At 51.7% G+C, this 19,525-nt stretch overlaps 2 protein-coding genes across 3 annotated transcripts in view, besides 5 other annotated features; one reads left to right on the top strand and one right to left on the bottom strand.

The window, feature by feature from the left end:
* Positions 3,669 to 4,446: an enhancer, noted in NCBI's record as "H3K4me1 hESC enhancer chr19:41712923-41713700 (GRCh37/hg19 assembly coordinates)". NCBI's record gives its function as "activates a minimal SCP1, AML or CMV promoter by ChIP-STARR-seq in primed H9 embryonic stem cells {active_cell/tissue: H9 hESC(primed)}" and the evidence as "EXISTENCE:reporter gene assay evidence [ECO:0000049][PMID:30033119]".
* CYP2S1 (cytochrome P450 family 2 subfamily S member 1) lies at positions 3,925 to 18,245 on the bottom strand. Of its 2 annotated transcripts, NM_030622.8 has the most exons (9): positions 18,023 to 18,245; positions 16,755 to 16,920; positions 13,536 to 13,685; positions 12,842 to 13,002; positions 12,576 to 12,755; positions 10,092 to 10,233; positions 7,827 to 8,014; positions 5,365 to 5,506; positions 3,925 to 5,184 (listed from the first exon to the last, which is right to left on the bottom strand). In NM_030622.8, exons 1-9 carry the CDS (start codon positions 18,197 to 18,199, stop codon positions 4,976 to 4,978), a joined length of 1,515 nt encoding a protein of 504 aa, NP_085125.1. In that variant the 5' UTR covers positions 18,200 to 18,245; the 3' UTR covers positions 3,925 to 4,975. The 2 variants fall into 2 exon arrangements, with proteins under 2 accessions (NP_085125.1, XP_047294667.1); XM_047438711.1 differs by lacking the exons at positions 3,925 to 5,184; positions 7,827 to 8,014 and having other exon boundaries at positions 5,371 to 5,506.
* Positions 16,396 to 16,908: an enhancer, noted in NCBI's record as "H3K27ac-H3K4me1 hESC enhancer chr19:41700461-41700973 (GRCh37/hg19 assembly coordinates)". NCBI's record gives its function as "activates a minimal SCP1, AML or CMV promoter by ChIP-STARR-seq in naive H9 embryonic stem cells {active_cell/tissue: H9 hESC(naive)}" and the evidence as "EXISTENCE:reporter gene assay evidence [ECO:0000049][PMID:30033119]".
* Positions 18,217 to 18,306: a silencer, noted in NCBI's record as "silent region_10652". NCBI's record gives its function as "represses an Ori minimal core promoter by ATAC-STARR-seq in GM12878 lymphoblastoid cells {active_cell/tissue: GM12878}" and the evidence as "EXISTENCE:reporter gene assay evidence [ECO:0000049][PMID:35858748]".
* Positions 18,217 to 18,719: a biological region, named in NCBI's record as "H3K27ac hESC enhancer GRCh37_chr19:41698650-41699150".
* Positions 18,219 to 18,719: an enhancer, noted in NCBI's record as "H3K27ac hESC enhancer chr19:41698650-41699150 (GRCh37/hg19 assembly coordinates)". NCBI's record gives its function as "activates a minimal SCP1, AML or CMV promoter by ChIP-STARR-seq in naive H9 embryonic stem cells {active_cell/tissue: H9 hESC(naive)}" and the evidence as "EXISTENCE:reporter gene assay evidence [ECO:0000049][PMID:30033119]".
* LOC124904790 (uncharacterized) overlaps positions 18,412 to 19,525 on the top strand; it is a 57,419-nt gene continuing 56,305 nt past the window's right edge. The window contains exon 1 of the mRNA XM_047439802.1: positions 18,412 to 18,484. Coding sequence (XP_047295758.1) covers positions 18,412 to 18,484 — 73 coding nt within the window. The remainder of the gene's footprint in view (positions 18,485 to 19,525) is intronic.

Genomic DNA, 19,525 nt, shown 5'->3' with positions numbered 1-19,525 from the left:
CACGCCTGGCTACTTTTTTGTATTTTTAGTAGAGACGGGGTTTCACCATGTTAACCAGGATGGTCTCGATCTCCTGACCTCGTGATCCGCCCACCTCAGCCTCCCAAAGTGCTGGGATTACAGGCGTGAGCCACCGTGCCCAGCCCGCCTCTTTATTATTTTTTTTATTATTTAAAAAAAAAAATTTTTTTTTTGAGGCAGAGTCTCACTCTGTCGCTTAGGCTGGAGTGCAGTGGTGTGATCTCGGCTCACTGCAAGCTCTGCCTCCCGGGTTCACACCATTCTCCTGCCTCAGCCTCCTAAGTAGCTGGGACTACAGGTGCCCGCCACCATGCCCGGCTATAGCCCACCTCTTTAAATAAATAGGTCTGCTTGTATTTCTACCTGATTCCAGATTTCCCTGAATGTGAATTTTGACTGCAAAGGAATGCAAATCATTGCCTTAATTTAATTTTTTATTTTTTTGAGATGGAGTCTTACTCTGTCACCCAGGCTGGAGTGCTGTGGCACAGTCCTGGCTCACTGCAACCTCTGCCTGCTGGGTTCAAGCAATTCTCCTGTCTCAGCCTCCTGAGTAGCTGGGATTACAGGTGCCTGCCATCATGCCTGGCTAGTTTTTGTATCTTTGGTAAAGACCGCGTTTCACCATGTTGTCCAGGCTGCTCTCGAACTCCTGACCTCAAGTGATCTGCCTGCCTCAGCCTCCCCAAAGTGCTGGGATTAAAGGCGTGAGCCACCGCACCTGGCCCCATTGCCTTACTTTTAAAAGAAGAAAACCTTAAACTTCATTCCTTTTCAAAGTGCACCGACATATAAAAAATAGTAATAATATTAAATCCAAGAAGAACTTAGCAGATATTTATTTCCTACGAAGTTCTGAAAGTTTTCACATTTCTTTCTGGATTTTTTTTTTTTCCCTTGAATCAGAGTCTTGCCCTTTTGGCCAGGCTGGTCTTGAACCCTTGGGCTCAAGCAATCCTCCCACCTCGGTCCCTCAACAAGGGTTACAGGTGTGAGCCACTGTGCCTGGCCCACATTTCTTACATCTTATCAATTTATTAAGGCTTTAAGATGGTAAAGCCTCAGTCAAGGTGTGACCAGCTAGGAGGTGGCAAAGTTAGGATCTGATTCCAATCTCATCTTTCAGTTCTCTATTATTCTCTGTTTTGTGCTATCTCTATAGAACTTAAGCCAATAAAGTGTTAACATCTTGGATTTTTTTTTTTAAAAAAGAAGCTTTCGCTAATGATATATGCATTGCTTAAGTTTTTTGATGAACTGATACGTGCGTTTACTCGGAAATGCCTAAAAAGTCCTGAACTGGTCTGGGCATGGTGGCTCACACCTGGCCAACACGATGAAACCCCATCTGTACTAAAAAAACAAAAATTAACCAGGCGCTCGCTGGTAATCCCAGTTACTCAGGAGGCTGAGGCAGGAGAATCGCTTGAACCTGGGAGGTGGAGGCTGCAGTGAGCCAAGATCATGCCACTGCACTCCAGGTTGGGTGACAGAGTGAGACTTCGTCTAAAAAAAAAAAAAATTGGCCAGGCGCAGTGGCTCACACCTGTAGTCCCAGCACTTTGGGAGGCAGAGGCAGGCAGATCACATGAGGTCGGGAGTTTGAGGCCAGCTTGACCAATATGGAGAAATCCCGTCTCTACTAAAAACACAAAAATTAGCCACGCGTGGTGGCGCATGCCTGTAATCCCGGCTATTTGGGAGGCTGAGGCAGAAGAATCACTTGAACCCAGGAGGTGGAGGTTGCCGTGAGCCGAGATCACACCATTGCACTCCAGTCTGGGCAACAAGAGCAAAACTCTGTCTCAAAATAAATAGATAAATAAATAAATCCTGAGCTGGTGGTCAGGTGTGTAGAAACGTCAGAAAGCAGTGTAGCAAAGTGCTAGTGGGAGAACCCAGGAAGTGCACAAGGTGTTCCTTGTACAATTCCCTCAACTTTGCTGCATGTTTGAAAACTGTCCTCATAAAATGTCAAGGGCAAAAATATCTTTAACTCTCAGAAATGTGCATTAAATTGCTTTCTGTAATTTGCCTTAAAATAATCTTTAAGGCCAGGCGCGGTGGCTCACACCTGTAATCCCAGCACTTTGGGAGGCCGAGATGGGCGGATCACCTGAGGTTGGGAGTTTGAGACCAGCCTGACCAACCTGGAGAAACCTCGTCTCTACTAAAAATACAAAATTAGCTGGACATGGTGGTGCATGCCTGTAATCCCAGCTACTAGGGATGCTGAGGCAGGAGAATCGCTTGAACCTGGGAGGCGGAGGTTGCGGTGAGCTGAGATCACGCCATTGCACTCCAGCCTGGGCAACAATAGCGAAACTCCATCTCAAATAAAAAAATAATAATAATAAAAAAATAATCTTTAAAAAGCAATAGGTGGCCAGGCACGGTGGCTCATACCAGTAATCTCAGCACTTTGGGAGGCCAAGGTGGGCAGATCACCTGAGGTCAGGAGTTCGAGACCAGCCTGGTCAACATGGCAAAACCCCATCTCTACTACAAATAAAAAAATTAGCCAGGCTTGGTGGCAGGCACCTGTAATTCCAGCTACTCGGGAGGTCAAGGCAGGAGAACTGCTTGAACCTAAGAGGCGGAGGTTACAGTGAGCCGAGATGATGCCACTGCACTCCAGCATGGGCAACAGAGTGAGACTCTGTCTCAAAAATAAAAGATAAATAAGTAAATAAAAAGCAATAGATAAAATAAAAATATCAGGGCAGGGTGCAGTGACTCACGCCTATAATCCCAGCACTTTGGGAGGCTGGGATGGAAACTCTTGAGGCCTGGAATTTGAGACCAGCACAGGCTGTATAGTGAGACTTTCTCTATAGAAAATAAAAATAAGAAATTTAGCTGGGTGTGGTGGCACGCATCTGTAGTCCCAGCTGCTTGGAGGCCGAGGCGGGAGGATCACTTGAGCCTAGGAGTCTGAAGCCACAGTGAACTATGAGATCATGCTACTGCACCCCAGCTTGGGCAACAAAGCAAAACCCTATCTCAAAATAAAAAAAAAAAAAAAGAGGCAGAAAAGGATATAGATGAAGTAAAAGCTGCAGAAAGTTGATGACTATTGAAATGAGGCTGGGTGATGGGCACCTGGGGGCTCATTGTATCTTTCTACTTTTGCGTATGTTTGCAAACTTCTTTGCTAGATAAGAAATTTATCTAGTAGCGACTCACGCCTGTAATCCCAGCATTTTGGGAGGCCGAGACTGGCAGATCATCTGAGGTCAGGAGTTCGAGACCAGCCTGGCCAACATGGTGAAACCCCATCTCTACTAAAAATACAAAAATTAGCTGGGCGTGGTGGCACACACCTGTAATCCCAGCTACTTGGGAGGCTGAGGCAGGAGAATGGCTTGAACCCGGAGGCGGAGGCTGCAGTGAGCCAAGATCACACCACTGCACTCCAGCCTGGGTGACAGAGTGAGACTCCGTCTCAAAAAAAAAAAAAAAAAAAAAAAGAAAGGAAATTTACAAATGCCTCTGGTTTCCTTGTGAAGGGGAGGCAAGAGAAAAAGGGTGGAAGAAATGGGAGTGGGCTTAGAGTCTGTGTTGCAAGCTAGTTCCTGTACTCAAGTTTGAAGAGTCTCTAGGGTCTGGATCTAGTTGGCTTCAGGCTCTCCCTGGCTGAGGAAGCCCCCAAGGTCCACAGTCCAGCTTGGGTTACCCCCTCCTTGCCCACTTCCCACCGCCGGACACCTTGGCCCTTTTTGGAAATGAGGCCCAGGGCGTCACCAGCCCTGCCCCTCCTCCCAGCTCCACATCTGGTCCTGATGTCAACAGCCAGGGTGGGCGGTGGCCATGTTTTTCAGCTCCCGCCCAGCCTCAGGGGAGGGGTGGACTCCCCTGTCCCCACCCCTTACTCACAGTGACTGACACGGGTCACACACGCAGTAGGCTAAAGGCCAGAAACAAACTTTAATTCCCAAGCCGGACCCTTAAGTCACAAGGAACGTCAGATCCGGCTCACTCCCTGACAGGGTGAATTGGAAACTGGCCCCTACTTGGTCTCTAACCCCTTCCACTGGGTCTAGTGGGGACTCTGACGCCGAACAGGGGCTGTAGATCAGTGAGTGTGTATGTGTGTGTGGAGGGGCAGCAGGGGCCGCTTTCCACGTGGTTACATAAGCACGTGTTGGGGTTGGGCAGGTGTTCCTCCGGTCTGAGGGTCCTCGTATGTCCAAAGTCTCTGTGCATAATCGCAGACCCAGATGTGTTTGCATTTGGTAGAATCAGGGTGCTTAAAAAGGGGTGACTGAGGGCTGCAGTTGCAGAGGTGGCTGGGGACTGTGCCTCTGTGGGGGCGGCGTGTCTCAGTGGGAAGATACTCTGGGGAGCCAGGACGATGTCGTACGTGGGTAGCTGTGTGGACAAGTGGTTGGGGGTGTGTGGACATCGGTGGTCACAGGCTGGGAGAGTGGTGTAGCCAAGAGAGGGAGCATGAGTTGGGGCCATAGACAGCGACAGTCTCTGGGTGGCATGACCCCGGAGGGGGCATGCTGTTCCCTGTGCCAGGCACCAGGGACAGGGACACTGAGAAGTTCGATGAATGGAGAGGGCGTGTGAGCTGTGAACATGTGTGGCCGTTTCTGTGGCTTGTGAAGGTGACAGCCAGACTCCCACGTGTGGGCTGCAGATCCAGGGGAGTTGGTGGGTTACCTGGCTATGTGCTTGTGATTGCAGATGGACTATATTTATGTCTGTGGAAAGCTAACCCAGCAGTTGCTTTGTGGCCCTTGTAGTTGTGTATGGGTGTGCGGTTGTGCATCTTAGCAGCATGAGTCAAGTGAGCGTGTGGGCCGTGGGACAGACTCCGGAAAACAACTGCAGGCGTGTAAATGTGGCTGCCTGCAGTGTACACTCTGGAGACATTAACCCTGTCCATGCCCACTGTTGAGGCTGGAGGCACCGTCCTGGGCACCCACCACTTCCAAGTTGCCTTCCTTCATCTGGTCTGCGTGGTGGAGTGAAGGTCAGTGGGACGGACTTGCAGCTGGAAGGCTGGGGGAATGTTGAAAAGGCCACTGACGGTGGGCTTGAGGCTCAGGGTGTCCGGCGGGCACGGGCTCTCCAGGGAGAAGGCTTGTAGGATGGTGGTGAAGAAGAGGAAGAGCTCCGCTTTTGCCAGGCCCTCTCCAAGGCAGACACGCTTCCCTGGTGAGGAGAGAGAGAGAGAGAGGGCTGAGTCAGTATTCCTCACACCCAGGCCCACGGGGGGAACAGCAGGTGGAGGAGCCAACAGTAAGCCCAGGGTGCAGAAGGGTGCCCCCAGCTGGCACAGATGCCTGGAGTTCGCCAGCACCTGCTTGTGATACCCAGGGCTGCAGCAGATACCTAAGGAGAAGGGCAGGAACGCCTCATGCTTCCTGAACCGTCCATCTGCATCCAGGAAACGGTCTGGGTTGAACTCTTCTGGGTGCTTGAAGATGTTGGGGTCATGCAGGATGGAGCCAAGGAGGGGGAAGACCTCCGTGCCCTGAGGGGAAATAATAATGAAACTATAAACCCCTTCCCACCCCAGTCCATTTGGTCCTCGAGTGTGGAGTACAAGTCTCGGGTGCCAGGGACACTAGTTCACAAAACCTAATGGCATCAACATTTGTGGAGTGTTGAGTGGCGTGCAGTGGCTCATGCCTGTAATCCCAGCCACGTGGGAGGCTGAGGTGAGAGAAGCATTTGAGCCCAGGAGTTTGAGACCAGCCTGGGCAATATAACAAGACCTTGTCTCTAGGAAAAATTAAAAAATTAGCCAGGCATGGTGGTATGAGCCCGTTGTCCCAGCTGCTCAGGAGGCTGACGTGGGAGGATCACTTGAGCCTAGGAGTTCAAGGCTGCTGTGAGCTATGCTTGTACCACTGCACCCCAGCCTGGGAGACAAAGAGAGACCCTGTCAAGAAAGAAAGAGAGAAAGAGAGGAAGACAGGAAGGGAGGAAGGGAGGAAGGGAGGAAGGAAGAAAGGAAGAAAGAGAGAGAGAGAGAAAGAAAAAGAAAAGAAAGAAAGAGAGAGAGAGAGAAAGAAAGAAAGAAAGAGAGAAAGAAAGAGAGAGAGAGAAAGAAAGAAAGAAAGAAAGAAAGAAAGAAAGAAAGAAAAAAAGAAAGAAAGAAAGGCAAAGAATAGTAGTTAAGGCATAGTCTCTGAGTTCAAATCTTGAATCTACTATTTGCAGGCTGGGGGACCTTGGCAAATCCTCTAAAAACTTTTCAAGCTCTCAGTTTCCTTATCTGTAAGATGGGCATGATAATGGTATAGGGTTGCTTTAAAGATTAAATGAGATAATAGATATGCAAAGCACTCAGAATAACCCCTGGTGCAGAGCAGGTCCTCAAGCCTGGATACCTGTCATTATCATCATTAAATTGTTGCTGCCTGGTACACAGGACCGGTTCCCAAGAGTTGAGTTGGTGTTTGTTTTACAAGCATTATCTTACAGCTTCAAGTTGATACTATTATTGTTTCTAATGTAGAGGAGGGATATATTGAGGTTCAGGGGGGGAAGTGATTTGCCCAAGGCCCCATCTACAAAACAGGAGGGGGTAGGCCAGGTGCAGTGGCTCACGCCTGTAATCCCAGCACTTTAGGAGGCCGAGGCAGGCAGTTCATGAGGTCAGGAGTTTGAGACCAGCCTGACCAACATGGTGAAAACCCATCTCTACTAAAAAGACAAAAATTAGCCGGGTGTGGTGGCATACACCTGTAATCCCAGCTACCCAGGAGGCTGAGGCAAGAGAATTGCTTGAACCTGGGAGGCGGAGGTTGCAGTGAGCCGAGATCACGCCAGTGCACTCCAGCCTGGGCAACAGAGCGAGACTCCATCTCGGAAAAAAAAAAAAAAAAAAAAAGAAGAAGAAGAAAAAGAAAATAGCAGCATAGCAGCACTGGATCCTAACTGCCATAGGTTTGATTCTGCAGTGAAGGTGGAGGAGGGAGCTGCTTGCATAAACTGCTGGGGTTTCTGGGGAAACATCGCCCCCTTTTGGTTCTGCATCGGAGCTGCTCTCCAGTGAAGGGCACTGAGATTGAGAGAGAGAGACAGAGGAGAGAATGTGTCTGCAGCAGGGGCTAAGGGTCAAGAGGGCTTCCCTTAGTCCTGGACTTGCTCCTCAGTTTTCAAACTGCTTCTCTGTATGTTACCTCATTCGATTGTCCCAACCACCTTGGAAGGAGGTAGAATTGGGAGATCTGTGGGGCAGATGGGGCCCAGAGATAGAGTCAAAGGGGAAGAAAACACAAACCAAAAAGAAACAGAAAGAGTTAAAAGATGCAGAAAGCATGGCTGGGTGCGGTGGCTCACGCCTGTAATCCCAGCACTTTGGGAGGCCGAAGCGGGCAGATCACGAGGTCAGGAGTTCAAGACCAGCCTGACCAACATAATGAAACCCCGTGTCTACTAAAAATACAAAAAATTAGCTGGGCGTGGTGGTGGGCACCTGTAATCCCAGCTACTCAGGAGGCTGAGGCAGGAGAATCACTTGAACCTGGGAGGCGGAGGTTGCAGTGAGCTGAGATCACGCCATTGCACTCCAGCCCGGGCGACAGTGCGAGACTCTGTCTCAAAAAAAGAAAAAAAATATATGCAGAAAGGGAGGGGGTGTCAGAGAAAGAAGGAGAAGAAAGATGCAGGGGGGTAGGAGTGGAGGAGGAAGACAGAGACAGAGAAAGAGAGGGAGATAAAGACAGAGAGAGAGAGAGAGAGACACTAAGATCAAGAAAAAGTCAGGGAGACACTGACAGCAAACCACCCGGGCTCAGGCCCCGAGGCAGAGAACCATGGGTGGCAGCCATACGCATACCCACCTGGGGCAGGGTGTACCCTCGGAAGCGGGTGGTCCGCATGAGGGTGCGGGGTATTCCCATGGGCACCAGCGCCAGCAGCCGCTGCGCCTCATGCAGAACCGCGTCGGTGTAAGGGAGGCGGGTACGGTCCCCTAGGCTTGGTGCCTGGCCAGCCCCCAGCTCCCGATTCAGCTCCTCACGTACCCACTCTGCAAGCAAGAGGAGGGCAGGAGTCAGACGGGGGTAGGGCCCAGGGATCCTCCTCTCAGAAGCCCATCTGCTTGCATAGCTGTAGTTTGGGGTGAGGCTGACAGGTGGGGAGGAGTGGTCCCCCAGCCCTCACTGAGCCCAAAGACCACACATCTTGTGTGTTGGGTGTTCCATCTATCTTCTCTCTCTCTTATTTTATTTTATTTTATTTCATTTTATTATTATTATTTTTTTTTGCAACGGAGTTTTGCTCTTGTTGCCCAGGCTGGAGTGCAATGGTGCGATCTTGGCTCACCACAACCTCTGCCTCCCGGATTCAAGCGATTCTCCCGCCTCAGCCTCCTGAGTAGCTGGGATTACACGCTCTGCCACCCAGGCTGGAGTGCAGTGGCGCGATCCTGGCTTGCTGCAACTCCGCCTCCCGGGTTCAGGAGATTCTCCCACCTCAGCCTCCCGAGTAGCTGGGACTACAGACGCCTGCCATCATGCCCAGCTCATTTTTGTATTTTCAATAGAGACAGGGTTTCACCATGTTAGCGAGGCTGGTCTCGAACTCCTGACCTCAGGTGATCCACCTGCCTTGGCCTCCCAAAGTGCTGGGATTACAGATGTGAGCCACCGTACCTGGCCTTCTCTCTCTCTCTTTTTTTTTTGAGACAGGGTCTTACTCTGTTGCCCAGGCTGGTGCAGTAGTACAATGACGGCTCACTGTAATAGCCTTCATCTCACCTCCTGGGCTCAGGTGATCCTTCCACCTCAGTCTCCTGAGTAGCTATGACCACAGGCACGCACCACCACACCCAGCTAATTTTTCTATTTTCGGTAGAGACAGGGCCTCATTATGCTGCCCAGGCTGATCTTGAACTCCTAGCCTCAAGTGATCCTCCCACCTCAGCCTCCCAAAGTGCTGGGATTACAGGTATAAGCCACCATGCCTGGCTCATCCATACTTTCTTAATTCCCATAGCACCCTTGTGAGGTACATATTGTTATCCATCCCCATTTCCTAGGTGAGGAAACAGACTCAGAGAACCCAAGTCACTGCTGGAAGTCACAGCTAATTCCACTCCTGCAACACTACCAGGACCTCCACTCCCATATTCCAGGTCAGCCCGTCCCCATGGCCCACAGCAGCTGCCTGACCCGAAAATGCTAGAGTTGGGCTGGGTGCCTTGGCTCATGCCTGTAATCCCAGCACTTTGCAAGGCTGAGGTGGGCAGATCACTTGAGGTCAGGAGTTCGGGACCAGCCTGGCCAACATGGGGAAACCCTGTCTCTACTAAACATACAAAAGTTAGCTGGGCGTGGTGGTGCATGCTTGTAATCCTAGCTACTTGGGAGGCTGAGGCAGGAGAATTGCTTGAACCCAGGAGGCCGGAGGTTGCAGTGGGCCGAGATCGCACTACTGCACTCCAGCCTGGGCAACAGAGTGAGAGTCTATCCCCCACAAAAAGTAAAAAAAATAAAAATAAAAAACCAATTTGACCTTGCCCTCCCCTGCTCAAAGTCATTGCATTGCTCCCCATGGCTCAGGATAAGGCACCTAATGTATCACTAAGGCGATGAGGCCCACAGACACCTGCCTTGTTTTTCACTGTGCCTCATACTGCAATCAGCAACTCCTGAACCTCTTCTGGCTCCTCGACATCTCAAACGCCATGCCCATCGATGCCTCAAAGATCTAACTCAGCCTGTCTGCTTGGCCCACCCACTCTTCCCTCTAGAATTCTCACTTTTTTTTTTTTGAAACAGTGTCTCGCTCTGTCGCCCAGGCTGGAGTGCAGTGGTGTGATGTCAGCTCACTGCAACTTCTACCTCCTGGGCTCAAACAATTCTCACTCCTCAGCCACCTGAGTGCTGGGATTACAAGTGCATGCCACCACACCCGCTAATTTTTGTATTTTCAGTAGAGATGGGGTTTCACTGTGTTGGCCAGGCTGGTCTTAAACTCCTATTCTCAAGTGATCAGCCCGCCTCAGCCTCCCAAAGTGCTGGGATTATAGGCGTGAGCCACCTTGCTCAGCCTAGAACCCTGACTTCTGTTCCCAAGGCCTGGCAAGTGGAAAAGGCTCTTACTTTGGACATGAGGGTATTTCATCAGGAGCAGGAGGGTATAGCCGACCGTGGTGCTGACCGTCATCGTCCCAGCAAACAGCAAATAAATGACTGTCATCAGCATGTTCTTGTTGGTGAATTCTGTGCCTGGGTTTTGTTCCTCCTGAAAGAAACCAGGCAGAGGGGCTGAGAGAACACAGCCTTTGGGAAGTAAATGTCCAGAACAGCCAAGCCTGGGGTCGGAAACACAAGTTAAAGTTTTGTCACGGGGTTTAGATAAATTTTTGGGAAGGTTGGGAAGTAGACTTTTTTTTTTTGAGACAGAGTCTTGCTTTGTTGCCCAGGCTGAGTGCAGTGGCACGATCTCGGCTCACTGCAACCTCCGCCTCCTGGGTTCAAGCAATTCTCCTGCCTCAGCCTCCCGAGTAGCTGGGATTACAGGTGCGCACCACCATGCCTGGCTAATTTTTGTACATTTAATGGAGACGGGGTTTCTGCATGTTGGCCAGGTTGGTTTCAAACTCCTGACCTCAGGTAACTGCTGTACCATTTTCCACAGGGCTGCGTCGTTTCACATTCCCACCAATGGTATACATGGGTTTCAAAGTCTCCACATCTTCATCAATCCTTATAACTTTCTGTGTTTTTGTTATTAGTCATTCTCTTTCATTTTTAAAAACATTTCAACCAGAGAGAACTAATATCAAGAGTCTACTTCCTGGCCAGGCACAGTGGCTCACGCCTGTAGTCCCAGCACTTTGGGAGGCCGAGGCGGGTGGATCACTTGAGGCCAGGAGTTTGAGATCAGCCTGGCTAACACGATGAAACTCCATCTCTACTAAAAATACAAAAAATTAGCCAGGCGTGGTGACGGGCACCTGTAGTCCCAGCTGCTTGGGAGACTGAGGCAGGAGAATGGCATGAACCCGGGAGGCGGAGCTTGCAGTGAGCCGAGATCGAGCCACCGCACTCTAGCCTGGGTGACAGAGTGAGACTTCATCTCAAAAAAAAAAAGGTGATTGCCAGGGGTTGGAGGAGGGAGGAACAGGCAGTTGTTTAATGGGTATAGAGTTTCAGCTTTGCAACATGAAGAGTTCTGGAGACTGATTGCATAACAGTATGAATGTACTGAACACTACTGTACTGTATACCTAAAAATGGTTAAGATGGTAAACGTTATGTGTATTTTACTATAGTTAAAACTAAAAAATATTCAATAAAAGAGAAAAGAAATGGGGCAATAGGGTTAAGAAAAATTTTTCTTTCTCCACAAACAGGGAGGCTGCATTTAATTAAAGAATTGGCCCCATTCTTCCAAAAGTTCGTACAGTTAAAAACTATTTATTTCCTTAGGAGTCACCTTAATTCTAGTTTACTTATAGGGCATGGTGTCTTTTTTCTTTTTTTCTTTTTTTTTTTTTTTGAGATGGAATTTCGCTCTTGTTGCCCAGGCTGGAGTGCAATGGTGCAATCTCAGCTCACCGCAACCTAAGCCTCCCGGGTTCAAGCGATTCTCCTGCCTCAGCCTCCCTAGTAGCTGGGATTACAGGCATGTGCCACCACGTCCGGCTAATTTTGTATTTTTTTTTTTAGTAGAGATGGGGTTTCTCCATGTTGGTCAGGCTGGTCTCGAACTCCCGACCTCAGGTGATCCGCCCGTCTCGGCCTCCCAAAGTCCTGAGATTACAGGCATGAGCCACTGTGCCCGACCGGGCATGATGTCTTATGCCTATAGTCCCAGCACTTTGGGAGTTCAAGGCAGCAGGAGGATTACATGAGCCCAGGAATTCAAGACCAGCCTGGGTAACATAGTGAGAGTCTATCTCTACAAAGAAAAAAAAAAAATTTAGCCAGGTGTGGTGGTGCACACCTGTTGTCCCAGCTACTCAGGAGCCCGAGGCAGGAGGATTGCTTGAGCCCAGGAGTTCAAGGTTGCAGTGAGCTATGATTTTGCAACTGTACTCTAGCCTGGGCAACAGAAAGAGATCCTGTCTCTTTAAAAAGAAAAGAAAAAAAAAAGGAAAAGAAATATTGTTCTTATATAATTAATAAAGTGGACTTTATTAACATAACTTGATATTGCAAGGCTTCCTAATAAATGACCATAATTCACATAAAATTGTGAATTTACATAAAAGTCTGGGGAGGCTGCAGGGGATGGGATGAAGTGATCCTGGGGATTGCTGGTGTAGGACCCTGGGCATGGGGCCTGAACACAAGGGCCGAGGTGGGAGGGAGAAAGAGGAGAGATGCTGGAGAGACAGACAGCCCGGCACAAATGCCCAGGTCGGGGGCGGGAGAGGCAGTGAGAGCAACGCCCTGAAAGGGACAGACAGATGTGCAGAGAAGGGATGCACACACATGCACAGAGACACTCATACTCACAGAGACATGCAGAGAGAGAAAGAGAGAGGAACCCAATTGAGGTCCCCAGGGACACCTGGCTGGGGACCTGCCAGGTCACCACGCCCATTCAGAGAGGGGGTCCCTGCACCCTTCCCACACCTGTGCCATCTTCAGCAGGAAGGCATCGACAAGGTCACGTGCGGGGCCCGAAGCATCCAGGTTCCCCTGGTGCTGCTGCACCTGCCGGACTGTGAAGGCAGCCAAGGTGCTGACGTGGTGGAGGAGCTGCTTGTGGGGGCCTGGCAGGGGCCGCAGGAACCAGGAGAACATCTCGTAGGTCTGTGGGGAGAAGGGCAGCTAGTTCTCATGGGACCTTGGCAGGAACCTTCAGGGAAGGTAGTTGGAGAGGGGTCCCACCCACTCACCTGACCCCCCTGGGAGCTGACTCCCAGCAGGGTACCACCAGCTGCCCGGACCACGGCCTGGAACTCCTTATCCTCATAGGAGAAGCGGAGGCCAAAGAGGAGGGAGCAGACTACGTTGGAGGTGGCCTGGGCCAGCAGCAGGGAGGGATCGAATGGGCGTCCTGGGGGGAATGGGGGCAGGGAGGTAGGCTGTGATGGAGCCAGGCAGAGGGGAGCAGGTTGGAGCTGAACCCAACCAGAGAGAGACAGGGAGGCAGGGAAAGATGGATGGACAGCGCAGGGAGAGAGCTAAACAGGCAAAGAAGGATACAGACAGATAGGGACAGAGAAACAGACAGGGAGAAAGAAACAGAGTGACCATCACACAGACAGGGAGACAGAAACAGAGATAGACTGAGGGCCCAAAAAATAGAGGAAAGGAGAGAGAAAGAAAAGAGACAGAGAGAGAGATGGAGACCCAGGAAGAATGGGATGATAGCACCAGAGACACACAGAGAGATGTCATGACAGCCTCGGAGAGACAGTGGGACAGAGACAGAAGGTGGCAGTGAACAGAACCCCCAGGCCAGCCCTAGAGTTCAAGGCTTCCCCTCCTGCCCATTCCAGGACCTGGGTTGGGGCCACCCCCAGCCACAGTAGGAGAGTTTTCCCTTTCACTCGGCTGGAGACCCTGGGGTGACCCCGCCATGCTGACCTTCTGTCCCCTGGAATGTCTCCACCAGACACCGGGCCTCCGCCTGGATCAGCTCCTCGCCTTCTCGCTTCCCCATGCCCAGGTCCCGCAGAGCAAGCATGGTAAACTTCCTCAGCTGCCTCCACCGCTCCCCGTTGGAGAAGAAAACCCCTGCGCAGAAGGCTAGACTCAAAAAGGGACCGGCCCCTCTCCCCCATTCCCCCTTCTTCCTTTCTTTCTTTTTTTTTTTGAGACGGAATCTCGCTCTGTTGCCCAGGCTGGAGTGCAGTGGCGTGATCTCGTCTCACTGCAACCTCTGCCTCCCGGGTTCAAGCAATTCTCCTGCCTCAGCCTCCTGAGTAGCTGGGACTACAGGCGCCCGCCACCATGCCTGGCTCATTTTTTGTATTTTTAGTAGAGATGGGGTTTCACTGTGTTAGCCAGGATGGTCTCGATCTCCTGACCTTGTGATCCACCCACCTCAGCCTCCCAAAGTGTTGGGATTACAGGCGTGAGCCACCGCGCCCGGCCGATTCCTCCTTCTTTCTAGTGAGGTTCCCTGAGGGGGACTCTTCAGGCTCCATCTGAGTCCATTCCAGCCTAGCCCAGGGATGAGGACTCAGTAGGTGCTCAATAAATGCATAATCAAACTGGTTCTCCCATCCTTTGCCCTTGGGTAAGGGAGTACATTCTCCTGAAAAGTAGGTAGCTGGGATGACCCAGGCTCCTTCTGTTTTGTAATTATTATTATTATTGAGACGAGGTCTTGCTTTGTCACCCAGGCTGGAGTGCAATGGCACGATCTCAGCTCACCGCAACCTCTGCCTCTCGGGTTCAAGCGATTCTCCTGCCTCAGCTTCCCGACTAGCTGGGATTACAGGCATATGCCACTACGCCCAGCTAATTTTATATCTTCAGTAGAGATGGGGTTTCTCTACGTTGTCTAGGCTGGTCTTGAACTCCTGACCTGAGGTAATCCACCCACCTCAGCCTCCCAAAGTGCTAGAATGGCAAGCGTGAGCACCGCACCTGGCCTGTTCTGTAAATAACCAGGATGAATGAAGAGTTGTTTCCTCCTTCCTTCCTTCCATCCACCCATCCCATCATTTATGGAGTCCCACTGGGTCCTGTGCCCCATGTAGTTTAGAGGTTGAACAGAGAGGGAGGAGGATGGAACTGCACCATTTTCCTCCCTTATCCAAGACACCTGCTCCAGACAGACCTTCCCTGTCCAATGCCAGCCTGTCGTGGTCTCTTGGGCACTTCCCCTTGGGTGTCTCCTGTCCTTGCCCTACTGTGTTCCAAAGTGGCCTAAGCATCTCTCCTCTCCCTGTTTCAGCCCACCATCCATTCCTCGGCCAGAGCCCCAGGCCTCTCCCAATTACTCCTTCCTCCCCATCCCCTGGCCCCAGCCCTGGTCCATCACCGCGGACCTCCCAGCCTCCCCATCACCCTGGATCCTCCCTATCACCCTGGGCTCCTAGCCTCCAGTTTCATCCCCTTCAGGCAGCAACCACAGGATCTTCCCAACTCTGAATACAGCTGTTCCCTGCTTAAAATCGACTGCTCCCAGGAAAAACAAAAGCCCAAACACTCTGACGTGACTCACAGGCCCTGCATGACCAGGGATTTCCCTGGCTTCTCAGCTTTGTTACTTAACCCACTACGACTGCGCTGGTCTTCTCTCACTTCCTCAAGGGCGTCAGGATCCCCTGTCTAGGCCTATGATCCTGCAGTTCCCTCTGCCTCCATCACTCTCACCCCTTTCCATCCCATCCTTGGTGAACTAACTCGTTCATCCTTCATGTCCCGGCTTAAATGTCACCTTCTCTGAGAAGCCTTCCCTGATTCCCTCTTTACCCTCGTACATATGCCTGTGCCCTGTGTTTGCTCTCAAATCTGTACCTCTCATTTTAGGATTATATTCCCTCCCTCTATTGTCTTACTGCAGTATAAGCCCGCCTCTCCCACAGTAGGAGAGGACACCATATCTGCCTGAGTCATTTCTATGTACCTGGTACCCATGGTACCAGGTATAATGATTTTTTGTTTGTTTGTTTGTTTTGTGGAGGCAGGGTCTCACCATGTTGCCCAGGCTTGTCACAAATGCCTAGGCTCAAGTCATCCTCCCCATTCAGCCTTCCAAAGTGCTGGGATTACAGGCATGAGCCAGCGTGCCCAGTCTGAAAATTCATCAGTTGAATGGATGAATGCTTCTCTCAAAGTCATGCTTTTGTAGGTGCTGGTCTTTCTGCCTGGAACACCCTCCCCACTCATCTTATGAGTCTCAGCTCCGACAGCCTCTCTTCCAGGAAGACTTCCTGAAGCTCCCTCACCAAACATGCCGGGTCAGGTACCTCCTCTAAATTCCTACAGTCCCAGGGCTTCCCTCAGCCTGGCCCTGACCCCTCTTGCCCTGACCCCTCCCCATCCCACCCTGACCTTTCTCCCCGTGCTTCCCCATCTTGGCCCTGACCACTCTGGGCTGGGACTGTGTGGTGAGTCTGTTTCCCCACTGGCCTAGGTGCGCTGGGGAAGCAGCACCGGTGCTGTCTTAGTTACTACTGAGTTCCTGGCAGCACCCAGCATGGGCCTCCTGCTTTCTGTTGTAATACAGAGAACTGTTTCTATTATTCGAGGGCTTGCCCACCAATCCCCAGCACCTTGAAAGCGCTCCGGCATCTTTCTGAACCCTCAGGGCTTTACCTGGATCATTGATGGTTATCACTGATACTACAACCTGGTGATTAGTGAGTGCTCACTTTGCACAAGGCTCAGTCCTCACTCAATCACTCAATCCTACATGATGGGCACTGCTTTTTGTTTGTTTGTTTGAGATGGAGGCTCACTCTGTTGCCCAGACTGGAGTGCAGTGGCACAGTCTTGGTTCACTGCAACATCTGCCTCCCGGGTTCAAGCGATTCTCCTGCCTCAACCTCCCAAGTATCTGGGATTACAGGTACGCACCACCATGCCCAGCTAATTTTTATATTTTTAGTAGAGACAGGGTTTCACCATGTTGGCCAGGCTGGTCTCGAACTCCTGACCTCAAGTGATCCACCCACCTCCGCCTCCCAAAGTGTTGGGATTTCAGGCACTAGCCACTGCACCCGGCTGATGGGCACTGTTATCACTCCATTTGACAGATGAGGCAACAGAGGGACTAAGCCATGTGCAAAGGTCACACACCAGTAAGTGGTGGCAGGCTGTGAGCGGAGGGCCTAGCAGCCCTTGACTTACCATGGCCATCAAAAGTCCCTTCCAGCATCGCTACGGTTCCCCGGCCGCTGAACTCCTCAGCCTGACCTCCCAGGGCCTCCCGCACAGCCTCCTGCCCAACCAGGACCACCACAGGCCGCCAGGGTCCCAGGTAGATGGTGAACACCGGTCCGTACTTCTTACTCAGCTGGGGGTAGGGAGGAAGAAAGAGGAGGGTGCTGTGACCTCTTCGATCCAAGGTGTCTCCATCATGGCCCCTGTCACTTGAGGAGCCACCGGGTCTAGCTTCTACGCCCTCTACCAGGAACCTGCCCCCATCCCAGCAGAAATAGCTGAGGCTCAGTTCTCTTTTTGCACTAGGCTCCCGGGCCTCCTCCCCCAGTACATCCTTCAGTGGCATCCCCCAACTTCCTGTCGTTCCCTTGCTTCCTGCTGAACCCTAACCTCTGACGCTGGGCAATCCAGAAGCAGTTTGGGTCTCCCTTAATTCCTTAGGGCCCTCCCTGCCCCCCAAATATCCAGCCACCCCTTTCAGTCACCACAAAACCCTGAAATTCTGGAGCAGACACTGCTGAGTATCCGCCCCATCTCTCCCCCAAGACCCCACCCTTTTTTCTACGTCCTTGAAGTCACCCAGAATCCTTTTGAATGGGAAACTTCAGGCCTCTGCCCACTCCCACCTGCTATCCCCTAAGGCTGGGGCTGCCTCTGCCTTCTTTCTTGCTCTCCTTCCTCCCCAGTCCCAGGAACTCCCAACTGAGCTCCACCCATCCTCCCATCCTGCATTCTCTGCTGGCAGATTCCTTCAGCGGGACCCCCTCTCTGAGCCTGCAACCCTCCAGCCTCTTCTCTGCCTCCAACTCCCCGCAGGGACGCCTCCCCCTTTTCTTCTTTGTGCCCTCTTCAGCATGCCCCACCTGTATGGCTCCAGCTACCTCTCCCTCTGGGACAAGCCCAGCTGCATCAGCTTCTCCTCGGCTGGAGGACTCCTGTCTCTTTCAGCCTCGGTCCCTGCCCATCACCTTCCCAGGATTCTGTAGGCAGAGGTCTCTGCCCCTCCTAGCCCTGGTCCCCCACCCCACGATCCTCTCTCCCGGGCACCTCTCCCCTTCTCAGCCCTGGACAACCTGCTCCTGCCCCCAACCCCAGGACAGCAGCAGCCCCTTTGCCTTGGGACCCCTGCCCCTGCCTCCTCCCTAGGATACCCGAAAAGCCCCTCACCCTGGCACTCGGGTTTCTCTCCCAGGAATCCTCCCACCCCTAGCCAGGACGTCCCCAGAGCCCCTTACCCGCATGAGCCCTGAATACAGCGCCCCGGGCCGTAGCTGCAGGAGGTTTCCCAGCAGTGGTAGCGGCGTGGGCCCGGGGGGCAGGTGGCCTCGGGCCCTGGTCCCGGACAGCGCCAGCGTCAGCAGCAGGAGCAGCGCCAGCGCCAGCAGCAGCGCCCAGGTGCCGGTCGCCTCCATCTCGGCAGGTCGGCTCCTTCTCCTCTCCCAGGCGCTCCGCGCGGCTGGGCTAGTTAGGGGCGGGAGCCGGGCGTCTCCCTCCCCAACGAAGTCAGGCGCGGGGCGGGGCAGCTAGCCCAGCCCCCTGCCTCCTGGGCAGGCTTATCTCCCCGCCGCCGGGTTTCTCCCGGACCACCGCCGCCGCCTGATGTCGGGAACTCATGCTCCAACGGATGTCTCCGAGGTCACCCAGGTTTACGCGGGGCTTGGGCGGCGGAGACAGCGCCTTGGGCCCCCGGATAGGGAGTAAGCAAACAGAAGAACCTGGAAGTCAGAGACTTTGGCCGCCTGGAGGTTGCCACACCCCGCATCTGGCGGTGACCCCGCGCCACTCTCCCCAGCTCCTACCTCGCTCATTGTTCGGATGTGGGTTCCTGTGTGCGTGCGTGTATGGGGTGTCTTTGAGTCAATTTTCTCCAGCATCTTACATCTTCACGAACTGAGAGGAAGGACTTGACCTTTAAGGATAAACAATCTGAAGTCCAGGGAGATAAATCGGTTGGCCCCAGGTCAACTTGGCTGAGTGGCAGAGTTAATATTTTGACTTGGGCCAGTTAGAATGATTGAGTCATTCATTCATTCGTTTAGAGGCAGTTTGCAGAGCGGTTAGGACCGTGATGGCTGAAGCCAGACTGCTTGAATTCACAGCCTAATTCCTCTGTGCCTCTGTTAGCCTTGTAAAATGGGGCTAGTTTTCAGGATTAAATAGTACATCTGTGCACACCATTTAAAGCAGACGCAGGTGCACATGTAACAAGCACTAAATAGATGTTAGCTAATATTTCTGCAACTAACTGTTATTGAGGTCTTACTATAAACAAGACCTTGTTCTAGACCCGAGGGTGCAGCTATGAGCGATGGAGAGAAGGGCTCTGGCCTTCCTGAGCTCATATCCACATGCAGATGAAGATGAGATGAAAACAATTTCAGGAAGTGAGAAGGCCTGCCAGGGGAATGGGCTTCTTGAGAAGGAAGAATGTTAGAACCATTTGTGCATGAATTATTGTAGGTTTGGTTCACTGCTGTATCCCCAACATATAGTGCAGTGCCTGACACACAGTAGGCACTCAATAAATATTTGTTATATTTTCAAAGATTGAATGTAGGAGATAAGATTCATGAAGTCTGCAGGGGCCATCTTGCAAGGTCTTGGAAAAGACTGCATTTTATTTCTATTGCAAACGGAAGCTGTCTGGAGGGGTTTTCAGCAGGGCAGTTACTTTGTTTGCTTTGCATTTTGATTTCGTATTTTATTATAAAAATATTAAAATTTCAAACATACAGTGA

This window comes from Homo sapiens, chromosome 19 (genome assembly GCF_000001405.40).
Source record: "Homo sapiens chromosome 19, GRCh38.p14 Primary Assembly".
Lineage (NCBI taxonomy): Eukaryota > Metazoa > Chordata > Mammalia > Primates > Hominidae > Homo > Homo sapiens.
Note: the sequence above shows the minus strand (reverse complement) of the source record. Positions and strands in the feature narration are given on the sequence as shown.